The sequence below is a fragment of the Homo sapiens genome, chromosome 1 (assembly GCF_000001405.40).
Source record: "Homo sapiens chromosome 1, GRCh38.p14 Primary Assembly".
Taxonomy (NCBI): domain Eukaryota; kingdom Metazoa; phylum Chordata; class Mammalia; order Primates; family Hominidae; genus Homo; species Homo sapiens.
In genome coordinates, this window is record NC_000001.11 from 35,460,621 (window position 1) to 35,475,243 (window position 14,623).

General features: G+C 42.0%; 1 protein-coding gene across 18 annotated transcripts in view, besides 2 other annotated features; it reads right to left on the reverse strand.

Moving 5' to 3' along the window:
- Positions 1-14,623, reverse strand: part of KIAA0319L (KIAA0319 like) — a 124,170-nt gene that overhangs the window by 27,129 nt on the left and 82,418 nt on the right. For all 18 annotated transcript variants that reach the window (XM_006710909.3, XM_017002369.3, XM_047430826.1 and 15 more), the window contains 4 exons: positions 14,185-14,286; positions 10,243-10,340; positions 5,988-6,075; positions 2,001-2,093 (listed from right to left, as the gene is read on the reverse strand). In XM_006710909.3, coding sequence (XP_006710972.1) covers positions 2,001-2,093; positions 5,988-6,075; positions 10,243-10,340; positions 14,185-14,286 — 381 coding nt within the window. The remainder of the gene's footprint in view (positions 1-2,000; positions 2,094-5,987; positions 6,076-10,242; positions 10,341-14,184; positions 14,287-14,623) is intronic.
- Positions 1,777-1,876: an enhancer, noted in NCBI's record as "active region_728". NCBI's record gives its function as "activates an Ori minimal core promoter by ATAC-STARR-seq in GM12878 lymphoblastoid cells {active_cell/tissue: GM12878}" and the evidence as "EXISTENCE:reporter gene assay evidence [ECO:0000049][PMID:35858748]".
- Positions 5,008-5,154: a silencer, noted in NCBI's record as "fragment chr1:35931229-35931375 (GRCh37/hg19 assembly coordinates)". NCBI's record gives its function as "represses an EF-1alpha promoter that drives an FKBP-Casp9 reporter gene in an ReSE screen in HepG2 liver carcinoma cells {active_cell/tissue: HepG2}" and the evidence as "EXISTENCE:reporter gene assay evidence [ECO:0000049][PMID:32094911]".

Sequence of the window (14,623 nt, forward strand, 5' to 3'; positions counted from 1 at the left end):
TTCTACTGTGTAGTTTTCCAAGAACTCCAACACAGGCAACCTCTGGTTAAAATACTACTGTATGAAGAAAGGAAAAGCAATAATTCTTAAACACATGAAAAAATACCCAACCTCACTTAAAAGAAATGCAAATTAATTTACACTTGAGATAGCATTTTTTTAACCTACAAAATTGGTAAAGACCAAAATTTCATAACACATTATATTGGTAAAGGTGTGGAGAAAGAGGACCTCTCATTAGTCATGGTATAAGCATAAACTGACACAACCTCTATAATGAGTACTTTGGCAATATTTATCTCTGCCCCTGCGATTCTTCTATGAATTTATCCTAAAAATATACTTGTACATGTGTTAAACATCATGTTTACAAGATTATTCATGGTAACATTGTTTGTAATAGCAAAAGAATGAAAGTAATCTAAATGGTCATCAATAGAGATTGACTGAAAACAAGTAAGAACTCGTACAATGAAATTATACATCTATATGATGGAATGCTACTTAATCATTTTTTAAAAAAAAGAATAAGCATCTTATGTGTTGATTAAGAAAAATTCTCTAGGCCAGGCATGGTGGCTCATGCCTGTAATCCCAGCACTTTGGGAGGCTGAGGTGGGCGGATCCCCTGAGGTCAGGAGTTTGAGACCAGCCTGACCAACATGGACAAACCCCGTCTCTATTAAAAATACAAAATTAGCCAGGCTTGATGGTGCGTGCCTGTAATCCCAGTTACTCAGGTGGCTGAGGCAGGAGAATTGCTTGAACCCAGGAGGTGGAGGTTGCAGTGAGCCAAGATTGTGCCATTGCACTCCAGCCTGGGCAAGAAGAGCGAAACTCTGTCTCAAAAAAAAAAGAAAAATTCTCCAACATACAAAAACAAGCATCACACATAACAGCACATATAATGTGCTTTCATTTGTGTAAACACAAGACAGAAGGACTATATATATATTTTCTTATATATGTATAAAATATCTCTAAAAGGATTCATAAAATAATAACACCATTGACTGTCTGGAGGAAAACCGGACACTTAGGACACACGGATAGTATGATTCTTTTCACTGTATACATTTGCATATTTATTTAACTTTCACCTATTCAAAACTGTAAAATAAAACAGTACAACGTGAGCCCTTTCTACCACTCTCTATCACAAGGGCTTCTTCCTGTTCCCTCTCTTCCCTCCTGGCCTACTATCATCCTCCTAGCCTCCTCTTCTTGCCAGCACCATCAACATCAAACGCTTAACCTTGTTAGAGGGTCCTCTGCTAAAGCTGTGACTGCCTCTCCCAAAAACCATCGCTGGTGCCAAGACAGTCAGGGTAAAGGACCTTAACCGGTCTCAAAAAATCAAAACAAAACAAAACAAAACAAAACCAAAAACCAAGCAAATACTGGTGAGAGGATAGGTCTGAAACCTCTTGCACCATACAGCCACAATTAAGGGCAAAGACCCAAAATCCTCTCATGTCACTCACTGGATGACACTACTCTGAAGAGTAAAATGTTAAGAAGCCCAGACCAGGGTGTGGAGTGCATTCTGTGAGTGTCTCCAGGAGGCGGCTGATGAGAATCTCGTTAGGCAAGTGATGGCTGGGTAAAAGCTCCTCAGTCAGGCCTCCCAGTTACTTACCTTGCTATGATTGGAAGGAACTTTGGTTCCATGAATGAAAAAGGCAACTCCAACTAAGCAAATCTGAAAACCAGTGAGTTTCAACTAAAATCATGCTAATTACATGCATAGTTTCAGTTTCTTACCATCTCAAAGTGGAAATATTACTTCAAATAGGCTACCTGGGGATTTTAAAGAAGGCCTGTCTGGTGTGTTGCTTTTCAGTCAGTTGCTTCAGATGGTTGGCCTTCCCCTAACATGGTCAAGATGACTGGCCTAAACAGAACGCAGACACAGCTGGCCCCAAATCTTCTACTAGAGTTTTCTATCAGAGTACACGGTGAATGTTCTTCTAAAACATCATACTTAGACAAGTACTCACGACTGCCATCAATGACTGTAGAAGTGGTTGGCAAAGAGATCTCCTGGAACTGAGGTGACACAATAGCAATGGGGGGCCGATTCTTACGGGGCTCTGCAAGAAAGTGACCCAAAAGAAATTGGGAAAGAGGCTTCAGAAATTACAGGAGCAGGCTGTATCTGAGAGGATTATAAATCAATTTCCATTACATCAGTGGTCCCTAGCCTTTTTGGCACCAGGGACCAGTTTTGTGGAAGACAATTTTTCCATGAACGGGTGGTGGGGGTTGGGGGCTGGGGTGCAGTGCATGGTTTTGGGATGAAACTTCCACCTCAGACCATCAGGGATTAGAGCCTCAAAAGGAGTGTACAACCTAGATCCCTTGCGTGTGCAGTTCACAATAAGGTTCATCCTCCTGTGAGAATCTAATGCCATCACTGATCTGACAGGAGGCAGAGCTCAGGCAGTAGTGCTCACTCACCCGCCATTTACCTCCTGCTGTGCAGCCCAGTTCCTAACAGGCCACGGACAGATAGCAGTCCATGGCCTTGGGGCTGGGGACCCCTGCATTACATAATTAATGATTGAAGCATCACCACACAGGAGAGTCACAAGACCAGACTGCCATTCTAACATAAGACACTTCGGAGTATAAAAGCCTCTTCCAAATCTGACCATTCCTAAGACCATGCCCTGTGTATTCTTTCAATGCTCATGTGCTATCTAGTTGATGAAAAGTACTACAGCAGCAAGTGACTCCTTTCAGCCAAGCCTGACTAGAAGCAGACAACAAACAAGCTGTGGGCAATAAAGACCTTGGCAATCAAACCGTCCCTTGGCACAGACTGTGCTGAAAAGCTGATGGGTGGTTTCTCAACCATCCTAGAGCTCACTGTATGTGAACTAACTATGGGTTAAGTGATGGGAAGGTCACAAACCACTCTGGTCCACCCAAATGACTGTGTGCTACAAATCCATGGCATTTTCTTTGCAAAATGATCAAATGGTCTTGATGCTGATCACATTTTTAAGAAGGTGAAAGGATTATCTTGGCTACAAAGTACAAGGAATGAAAAGAAAATCTATTACCAAGAAAGAAAAGAGCATTGAGAATTTATGCTGTATATGTACCACTGTTGATATGGTCTGGCTGTGTCTCCACTCAAATCTCATCTTGAATTGTAACTCCCACAATTCCCACCTCATGGGAGGAACCTGGTGGGAGGTGATTAAATTATGGGGGTGGGTCTTTCCTGTGCTGTTCTCATGATAGTGAATGAGTCTCACAAGATCTGATGGTGTTAAAAACAGGAGTTACTCTGCACAAGCTCTCTTTTTGCCTGCTGCCATCCATGTAAGACATGACTTGCTTCTCCTTGCCTTCTGCCATGGTTGTGAGGCCTCCCCAGCCACGTGCTACTCTAAGTCCATTAAAACTCATTCTTTTGTAAATTGCCCAGTCTCGGGCATGTCTTTATCAGCAGTGTGAAAACATACTGACACAGTAAATTGGTACCAGTAGAGTAGGGTGCTGCTGAAAAGATATCCAAAAATGTGGAAGCAACTTTGCAACTGGGTAACAGGTAGAGGTTCAAGCAGTTTGGAGGGCTCAGAAGAAGACAGGAAAATGTGGGAAAGTTTGGAACTTCCTAGAGACTTGTTGAATGGCTTTGCCCAAAATGCTAATAGCAATATGGACAATAAAGTTCAGGTTGAAGTGGTCTCAGATGGAAATGAGGAAATTGTTGGGAACTGGAGCAAAGGTGACTCTTGCTATGTTTTCGCAGAGACTGGCAGCATTTTGCCCCGGCCCTAGAGATCTGCAGAACTTTGAACTTGAGAGATGATTTAGGGAATCTGGCAGAAGAAATTTCTAAAGAGCAAAGCATTCAAGAGGTGACTTGGGTGCTGTTAAAGGCATTCAGTTTTATACGGGAAGTAGAACATAAAAGTTCAGAAAATTTGCAGCCTGACAATGCAATAGAAAACAAAATCCCATTTTCTAAGGAGAAATTCAAGCTGGCTTCACAAATCTGCATTAGTAATGAGGAGCTGAAAGTTAATCCCCAAGAAAATGGGGAAAATGTCTCTAGGGCATGTGAGAGGGCTTCATAGCAGCCCTCACAGGGGCTGGAGGCCTGGAGGCCTAGGAGGGAAAAATGGTTTCGTGGGCCAGGCCCAGGTTCTCAGTGCTGTGTGCAGCCTAGGGACTTGGTGCCCTGCATCCCAGCTGCTCAAGCCATGGCTGAAAAGGGCCAATGTAGAGCTCAGGCTGTGGCTTCAGAGGGTGCAAGCCTCAAGTCTTGGCAGTTTCCATGTGGTGTTGAGCCTGCAAGTACACAGAAGTCAAAAATTGAGGTTTGGGAACTTCCGCCTAGATTTCAGAGTATGTATGGAAACACCTGGATGTCCAGGCAGATGTCTGCTGCAGAGGCGGGGCTCTCATGGAGAACCTCTGCTAGGGCAGTGCAGAAGGGAAATATGGGGTTGGAGGCCCACACAGTCCCTACTGGGGAACTGTCTAGTGGAGTTGTGAGAAAAGGGCCACTGTCCTCCAGACCCTGGAATGGTAAATCCACTGACAGCTTGCACTATGCACCCGGAAAAGCCGCAGACACTCAACGCCAGGCTGTGAAAGTAGCTGAGAGGGAGGCTGTACCCTGCAAAGCCACAGGAGTAGAGCTGCCCAAGACCATAGCAACACACCTCTTGCATCAGCATGACCTGGATGTGAGACATGGAGTCAAAGGAGATCATTTTGGAGTTTTAAGACTTGACTGCCCTGCTGGATTCTGCACTTGCATGGGGCCTGTAACCCCTCTGTTTTGGCCAAATTCTCCCATTTGGAACGGCTATATTTATCCAAGCCTGTACCCCCATTGTACCTAGGAAGTAACTAACTTGCTTTTATTTCACAGGCTCATAGGCAGAATCGACTTGCCTTGTCTCAGATGAGACATTGGACTGTGGACTTTTCAGTTAATGCTGAAACGAGTTAAGACTTTGGGGGACTGTTGGGAAGGCATGACTGGTTTTGAAATGTGAGGACATGAGATTTGGGAGGGGCCAGGGGTGGAATGATATGGTTTGGCTGTGTCCCCACCCAAATCTCATCTTGAATTGTAACTCCCACAATTCCCACGTGTTGTGGGAGGAACCCAGTGGGAGGAACCTGGTGGGAGGTAATTGAATTATGGGGGCAGGTCTTTCCTATGCTGTTCTTGTGATAGTGAATGAGATTTGATGGTTTTAAAAATGGGAGTTTCCTTGCACAAACTCTCTTTTTGCTTGTTGTCATCTACATAAGACGTGACTTGCTCCTCCTTGTCTTCCACCATGATTGTGAGGCCTCCCCAGCCACGTGGAACTGTAAGTCCATTAAACCTCTTTCTTTTGTAAATTGCCCAGTCTCAGGTATGTCTTTATCAGCACCATGAAAATGTACTAATACAACTGCCCATCTTCTCTTAAATTTCTCTGAAAATGCAAAATAAGATTCCTTCCTACTGCACTGTGATCTACCTACAGTGGTTCATTTTAAAAGAATGACATGATTTTGTTACCAAGGTGAAAGAGACTGGTAGTGTTTAAATGAGGAACTCTGTGTACAAAGGCTCACATCTCTGGAAAGAGATCAGAAAGAGCTGGTCACTTGGCTGGTTCTCCTTCTGCATGCTTCTCCTAGGCTCTTGGCTTCCCTGTGTCTGTTAATTACAACTCATGGTCCCTCTCAGCATGGCCCACTTGAAGAAGTAGGTCTCGGTAGATAAGTTATTGCTTAGGCCATACTGCACTGTGGGCCATGTGTCCAGCTCAGCATTCCAACTAGAGCACTGTTGGAACAAAGTCTGTATTTTGCTATTGTAACTATTCACCACATTGAACTAGGAATTGCTGAATAAATACATTACAAAAAAAATGAGAATCAAAAACCCCAAATCAAATCTCTATCTCCTCAGGAGTCCTGCAGAGGGAGGAAGGGAGACACAGCCAGGGCTGAAAACATACCTGGCTTGACTGTCACGTTCACATAGCCTTCCCCATGGGCATTTTGACCCTCTACAATCACTTTGAATTCATACAGGCCTGGAGTGAGCTGCAGAAGTGAGAGAAGATCTCTTAGACAATCACAAAGAGCAGGAATTACATTTAAAATAAGATATATCTGAACTTTCCCAAGCTGAATCTTTCACTCTTTCCTTCCCCTATTTCCAAAATGGAAAAGGTAAAGTAGCCTGTAATCCTAGCAATTTGGGAGGAGGCGGGTGGATCACTTGAGTTCCTGAGTTCAAGACCAGCCTGGGCAATATGCCAAAACCCCATCTCTACCAAAAATACAAAAATTAGCCAGGTGTGGTGGCACACACCTGTAGTCCCAGCTACTTAGTAGGCTGAGGTGAAAGGAGGGCTTGAGCCCGGGAGGTGGAGGTTACAGTGAGCCGAGATCATGTCACTGCACTCCAGCAAGAAAAAGTAAACTAGCTGAAGAGATAAACAACGAACTGAAAAAAAAAAAAACCCTTTTAATGTGAATCTTATGAGTAGCTGACTCTAGAACAACAGAAGGGATTTCAAATATCTCTGTACTCCCATTTTCTTTTCAGAAGAACATTAAGGGCCCGAATATCCCACTCCACAGAGTTACGAAATTAAAATAATCATCACTTCAAAGAAAAACATTTTGTAAAGATACTAAATAGTTCCCAAATATCTGAATATTTTTCCCTCCTGATTTTTACTAATTTATAAACTTAATATAAAAAAAAAACAAAAAAGTACCCAGCATATCACTATCATAACACATCAACTCATCAAATTTCTCCATTTCCTTCTAACTCTTGACCACATATTAAAATAATAGTTGTGTACAGCTCATTCGTTTAACAAACATTTACTGAAACCAAATCATGTACCAGTCATTGTCCTAGGCTTGTAGTTTGGATACGAATAAGGTAAGATCTCTATCTTCAAGGAGCTCATATTTCAGTGGTATTCAAAGTTCTAGCTAAAATCAAGGTATCAAACTTTCTATTGTTCTTTCTTCCATTCATTTAGCATGAACACCTTCCCTACTATAATACAATCATACAATCTTTTTTTTTTTTTTGAGACAGAATCTCACCCTGTCACCCAGGCTGGAGAGCAGTGATGCAATCTTGACTCACTGCAACTGCTGCCTCCTGGGTTCAAGTGATTCTCATGCCTTAGCCTCCCAAGTAGCTGGGACTACAGGCCTGCACCACCATTCCCAGCTAATTTTTTATTTTTAGTAGAGACATGGGTTTTGCCATGTTGGCCAGGCTGGTCTTGAACTCCTGACCTCAGGTGATCCACCCACCTCGGCCTCCCAAAGTGCTGGGATTACAGGCTTGAGCCACTGCACCCAGCCACAATCTTTTTAATATTTATTTTAACGACCACAAAGCAGTATATGAACAAATGTGTCAAATTTCACATAAGCATTTCTAATTGTTCGATACTTGGGTTGTTTCCAAATTTTTACTATTATGACTAATGCTGTAACAAACATCTTCCAGGCAAATGTTTTTTTTTTTCTTTCTTTCTTTCTTTTGAAGTATTTTCTTTGGGTAAATACTAATTGAACCACAAGTAGTATCTTTGGCTATTTCCTCTTTATAACACTCTTCTTCTTGGCTTTTACTTCTGTGCTCACACTTCATTTCCTTCAGTTTCCTCTACCCTCCATCCCTTAAATGATGGGTGTTCCCAGGATTCCAACCTCAGCCTGCTTATTTCTTCACTCTGCACACTCTCCCTGGTTGATTTTATCTATTGCTGTGGCTTCAAAAATCATCTATTTGAGGTTGATGTGCAAATATATCTCTCCAGCCCAGACTTGTCTTTTGACCTCCAGTCCCTTTCCCCCAGCTACTAACAGGACAACTCAATTCAAATGTCTCACAGGTACCTCAAACTCACTCTGTCCAAAAATGAATTAATCATCTGCAAACTTCTCCTTAAAACTTGCTTCTCCTTCTGTGCTCCTCATTTCAATGAACATCCACCCAGATACCTAAGCCAAAAAGCTAGAATTATCCTGGACTTCTCTTCCCCAACATCCCCAACCAGTTCATCAATCATCAAATTTTATCAAGTCAAACTCCGTATTATTTTTCCAATCTACTCACTTGTCTCCATCCACACTGCCATCACCTTAGTTCTTAACCACTTGTCATAGCACAATTATTAAAGGCATGGCCTTTAGAGATGGAAAGCTCCAGTTTAGACCTACCATTTAATACCTTTGTGAACTCTGGCCAAATCACTTCATTTCTCCAGTTTTTAGTTTTGTCATTTGTAAAAAAGATAGTAATACCTACATCCTGGGATTGTTACGAAGATTAAAAGAAATAAGTGTACAAAATAATCGGCACTGGGTATGGCACATGGTATGAATTCAATAGGTGGTTTTTATTTTTATTTTTTGAGACACAGTCTCACTTTGTTGCTCAGGCTGGAGTGCAGTAGCATGATCATGGCTCACTGCAACCTCTACCTCCTGGGCTCAAGCGATCCTCCCACCTCACCCTCCTGAGTAGCTGGGACCACAGGCACATGCCACCACACCCAACTAATTTTTGTATTTTTTGTGGAGTTAGAGTTTCACCATGTTGTCTAGGCTGGTGGTTTTCAATTTTACTTATTTAGTTCTTTCACTCAGGCTACTACCATTTTACACCTAAATTTTTCAACAGATTCCTCACTGACCTCTATAGTTTGAGTCTTATCTCCTCCAATCTGTAGTCAGGTGATTTTTCTAATCTGAAGATCTAAACATGTGTTTCTCTTGCTTAAAGCCTTTCAAGGGCTCCATATTCCTTCTGGATAAGATTCAAAGTCCTTAATCCGGCATATAAGGCTTTTGCTCCATCTGGCCCCTGCATCTTTCCAACTTAGTCACAACCACATATAAATTCCCCTTTCCCCACATTTTCGCTCCCATTTTTGGCCCAGTGGACATGTTGCTTCTTCTGCTTGAGGTATTATCCCTTCACCCTTTACCTAGTAAGTCAGTCACTCTAAGAAATCCACTCTACCTTTCCAAGGCTTCATTGACCCTCTGCACTGACCTAGTGTGCCACCTGTTATAATTACCTGCTTCCTATCAGTATCACCTACTAGACTCTATTGTTCTTGAACATTAAAATTATAACTAATTCTCTGGTAAATCCCCAATGCCTGCCACATGACCAGTGTACAATGAATAGATGTAGAATGAATGACTAAATGAGACTGCTGGGCCAAAGAATACAAACTTTTTTCTTAGAGAAAAGATCTCACTTTGTCACCTGGGCTTTAGGGCAGTAGTATGATCATAGCTCACTGCAGCCTTAAACTCCTGGGTTTAAGTGATCCTCCCACCTCCGCCTCCTGACCGGCTGGGACTACAGGTATGAACCACCACACCCAGCTAATTTTTAATTTTTTGTAGAGACAGGGTCTTGCCATGTTTCCCAGTCTCTTCTCAAACTCGTGGCCTCAAGCAGTTGTCCCACCCCACCTCAGCCTCCCAAAGTGCTTGGATTACAGGCGGGAGCCACTGCGCCCAGCCAAATACAAACATTTTAGATCTGTCAATAACTGTACTTAGGCTGGGCATGGTGGCTCACACCTGTAATCCCAGCACTTTGGAAGGCTGAGATGGGAGGACTGCTTGAGACCAGGTGTTCAAGACCAGCCTGGGCAATATGATGAGACTCTATCTCTATAAAAAATACAAAAATTAGCCAGGTATAATGGCATGACCCTGCAGTCTCAGCTACTCAGGAGGCTGAGGTAGGAGGATTGCTTGAGCCTGGGAAGTCAAGACTGCAGTGAGCCGTGATCACACCACTGCACTTCGGCCTAGGTGACAGAGCAAGACCCTGTCTCAAAAAAAAAAAAAAAAAAAAAAGAAAAAACCTATACTGAATCCCACAAAGGCTGAGTGAATGTATGCAGTCATGTGGCCACAAATAACCTAGCTTATCCCAAATTCTAAAATCCTTAAGTTAGCCTTAAAAGCCGTTTAGTGTATATTTTCAGCCACCACTACCATGCTGGTACAGTCTTCTTACCATAAATGAAATTTTGAGAATCATACACTAACAAATACTGGATGTCAGCCAGTCAGATTTTTGGAGGATTCATTTCTAAAAGACTGTTTACAACTTAAGTGTAGACAGAAAATTATATGATATTCATTTTAGAAAACAGTCAACTCCTCTACCTTTGCCCTGCAAGTGAAAGGAGGCAAATTCACCTTCGATAGTTTGAGGATCTGGGAATGTTTCCCTTCCATTTCTCCACTGTAGTCTCTAGGATGAGTAATCAGCTGCCAGTCGTAGGTGTAGGTTTCTCCTATAGAAGGGCAGTTACAAAAATCATGAAAACACACACCAACACACAAAGAGGACAGCCACATAGCCTGCCAATAACAAATCTCTTCTGATCTTGACAAGGCTTTAGTTTTTAAGATTTCACCCCAAAGCCTGTAGGGAAACCAAACCATCTGCTGAAAGAAAGAGCGAATGCTGCTGACTCAGCTACAGTTAGGGCTTCTTCCAACTCTCTCCCAACAATGCTTATTCCTGCCCTATACCGACCCTCTCAGGGCCAATCCTCCCTAAAAAATACCAGGTTGCTCATGGTGTGGCATACCACTGAAAATACATGTCCGACCAACCATTATAGATGAACTCATTGGGAACAAAGGCCATTTTCTTGCAAAACTTCTTTTGCAACAAAGAACAGCAATGACTTCTAAATAACATGGTTCAAAAATAGCTTTTTACAGAGTGCTAACAATGCTCGTCTCACTGAGGTCATCACACCCTGGTGAGTTAAAAGAGCTACTTCATTCCTGCTGAGCTAAATAACACACTGCAGAAGATGGTAGGAGATGGCCCATTTAAAACAGGCCCAGTGAAATTAATTAAAATCAAATGAAGCATTAAATGGTACCCACTTGCAGGTCAGACTATATCACTAGGTAAGGCAATGGTAGGATCCTATCTAAATGGCATCCCTCCCCAGAAAAAGTAGTCTTAAATTTTTTTGGATCAAAATGCATTTCTGATTAGGGAAGGGAGGACTTTGGTAGGAAGGTTTAGTTTAAGTTACTAACCAAAAGTAAAAAAGAAAAAGGGGGAAAAAAAAACCTGAAACACTTAGCAGAGAGTGGTCATCTTTTTCTTATTTCATGAGTTCAAATGTTAAAATCAGTACACAGAACCTAATTCCAAGATATCCTTCATCTGAAGACCAATTTTATTTTATAATCCTGGGAGACAAGGTCTTCTTCCTTCCTTCCTTCCTCCTCCAAAACAAGAATTTTTTTGGCCAGTTGTCAGCGCCAACAGCTCTCACAAACGTATATAGTATGTAGTAGTTATGTTACGAGAGGAGACGGAAAGAAGCAGCACAAGCAGGACTTGTACTCAGAGACATTTCTTCCAACTGTAGCTGGAAATTCTTTTCCATGTAGAAAACAGTTTGGGAACAGATAATTTTATAATAGCTAAGGCTAGCAACATAAATTTCAAAACAGGACAATATTCCTAGGACAGAAAAGCTCAGGGGATGAATTATGCCTCGCAGGCAGAAATATGTTCAAAGGTAGGAACAACTGAGTGTAACTCTGTTAGAAAGAGTGCTGGTTGCAGTGACTGAGGACAGTCGTTCGTTTGTTCTATTGACTGACTGACTGATTGAGATGAAGTCTTGCTGTTGCCCAGGCTGGAGTGCAGTGGTGCAATCTCAGCTCACTGCAACCTCTGCCTCCCAGGTTCAAGTGATCCTCCTGCCTCAGCCTCCCAAGTGGCTAGGATTACAGGCACGTACCACCACGTCTGGCTAATTTTTGTATTTTTAGTATAAACAGAGTTTCACCATGTTGGCCAAGCTGGTCTCAAACTTCTGACCTCAAGTCAGGATCTGCCTGCCTCAGCCTCCCAAAGTGCTAGGATTACAGGCATGAGCCACCACGCCCAGCCGGACAGTGGTTTTGAAAATGGACCTGGAGGGATCCTAATGGGCTGCCATAGGGCAGGAGAAGGATAAAGAGCATGCAGAATTGGTCCTGCCTCATCACCCCCAACCTTTGGAAGTTTGAAACCATCCATCTCACATATCTAATAAAGGTGGAAGAACCTGGAGAGAGGACAGGAGAAAATAATCTATTTCCCTTTTTTTTTTTTTTTTTAATGAGATGGAGTCTCTCTCTGCCACCCAGGCTGGAGTGCAGTGGCATAATCTTGGCTCACTGCAACCTCCGCCTCCTGGGTTCAAGCAATTCTCAAGCCTCAACCTCCCCAGTGGCTGGGATTACAGGCGCCCACCATCACGCCTGGCTTACTTTTAGTAGAGATGGGGTTTCACCATGCTGGCCAGGCTGGTCTTGAACTCCTGACCTCAGGTGATCTGCCCGCCTCAGCCTCCCAAAGTGCTGGGATTACAGGCATGAGCCACTGCGCCCAGCCTTTTTTTTTTTTTTTTTTTTTTTCTTTTTTTTTGAGACAGAGTCTTGCTCTGTCACCCAGGCTGGAGTGCAATGGCACAATCTTGGCTGACTGCAACATCCGCCTCCTGGGTTCAAGCGATTCTCCTGTCTCAGCCTCTCAAGTAGCTGGGATTACAGGTGCCCACCACCACACCCAGCTAATTTTTTTGTATTTTTGGTAGAGATGGGGTTTCGCCACGTTGGCCAGGCTGGTCTTGAACTCCTGACCTAAGGTGATTCACCCACCTCAGCCTCCCAAAGTACCAGGATTACAAGTGTGAGCCACCGTGCCTGGCCAAAGAATCTATTTCTAAACTAACATGTTTTGAAACACTGATCTACAAAATGATAGTAACCCACAGAAAGGTACATGCAAATATGGGTTAGGAAAGAAAATACAGTAGAGCCAAACATGTCTTTCACAAAAGAATGGTAGTAATCAACAGCTCAAGGCAGTCCCTCACCTCCAACTTCAAAAGCCACTAAACCCAATCACCTTAACTTGTCACCAGAGGAAGAAAGGAAAAAGCTTCTCTAGAGGAATGTGAAATGAATTGATAAGGAAACCTCGATTTGAGAGCAGAAATATAGAACAGACAGGGCATTTTGCTTCTGGAAAAGTACTTTTTGCATTAATATGCTATTTGGTATTAGGCCTAGAAATTAAGAATACTGTATTGGAGATGTGTGTACCTAAAATGGAAGGACCCCATCCTAAATAGGGAAGGACATTCTACTTGACTAACCTTTTAATGATAACATAAACCCAACTGGCTCAATTTCCATCAAAGTATGTACCACTCAAGTCCTAAATAGTGTTAAGAGAACCCATATGTGTTTGTAAGTCAAACTTTGGTATATTAACACATACTTCAAAGGTGAAAGTAATGTTCATATTACAAAAGTTTTCTTAAATAATGAATTAATCATCCATACTTTATATATTTTATAAACTTGAATTTTGTATATCACATTAGGCTTAGCTTTTTTTTCCCCCAGGGACAGGGTTCTCACTATGGGAAACGATGGTCCTTACAACGGTCCTGTGAGGATAGGATATAACCCGGGTATGCACAAATATTTATGGAATATGAGAGGTACTATATAATGTAGGGTTTGAGATCACAGGCTTTGATGTCACGCTTGGGTTCAAATCTCAGCTGAGCCACTCATTATCTGTGTGAATCTAAGTAAATGACTTCTCTTAATTTCCATTTCTTTCTCAATAAAATGGGGATAATAATTCCTACCTCATAAGATTACTTTAAGGGCAAAATGAGATAGTAGATAAGTTACCAGTTTAGTGCCTAGCATATAGCTGATGCTTATTAATATAGAACATATTTATTAGGTTGTATTTAAATCCATTTTAAGAGAAAGAAACTGAGACTCAGATTAATCTGTTTATTTTGGTCAAACAACCAGTAAATAGCAGATGTAGAACTTAGAAAGAAGTTATTCAAGATGACTGCTAATATAAATTTGTAACTTAAAAAAAATACATTTTTTCCTGACAGGAAGTCAGAGGAGGGAAAAAGATAAGGGCCAGGAGTGGTAGTGTATGCCAGTAGTTCCAGCTACTAGGAAGACTAAGGTGGGAGGATCTCCTGAGCCCAGGAGTTTGAGACCAGCCTGGACAACACAGCAAGACTCCATCTCTTTCAAAAACAAAAAACGGTTATCCAAATGTAAGGGGATGTTTACCTTTAGGTGGTTCTTGGAGAACATATGCATTTAATTGAACTTCATTCTTAGGCAGGGTTATCTGGACACTCTCTCCAGCAGATACCACCAGTTCCTTTATAACTGGAAACAAAGTAAATATACCAGAGATAAGAAATAGATCCAGACTGTCTTATTTCTCTCTTTCTTTTGTGATCAAACTCCTTTCATGATCAATATTCAGCTACTGCCATCAATTACTAACTTTTTTCTACTCTCTAATTGCTTGAAATTTGATTCTGTCCCCACTTTTCCATTGAAAAGGATCTTTCAAAACTACTTCTTAGTAAATCTAACAGCTGTACCCTAATACCCTCATTCTTCATCTCACATCTCAGTGGCTTCTACTATTGCTAACTGCCTCCATCTTAAAACTCTTGGATATCATGACACCATATTATTCTATTTTTCCTCCTTTCTC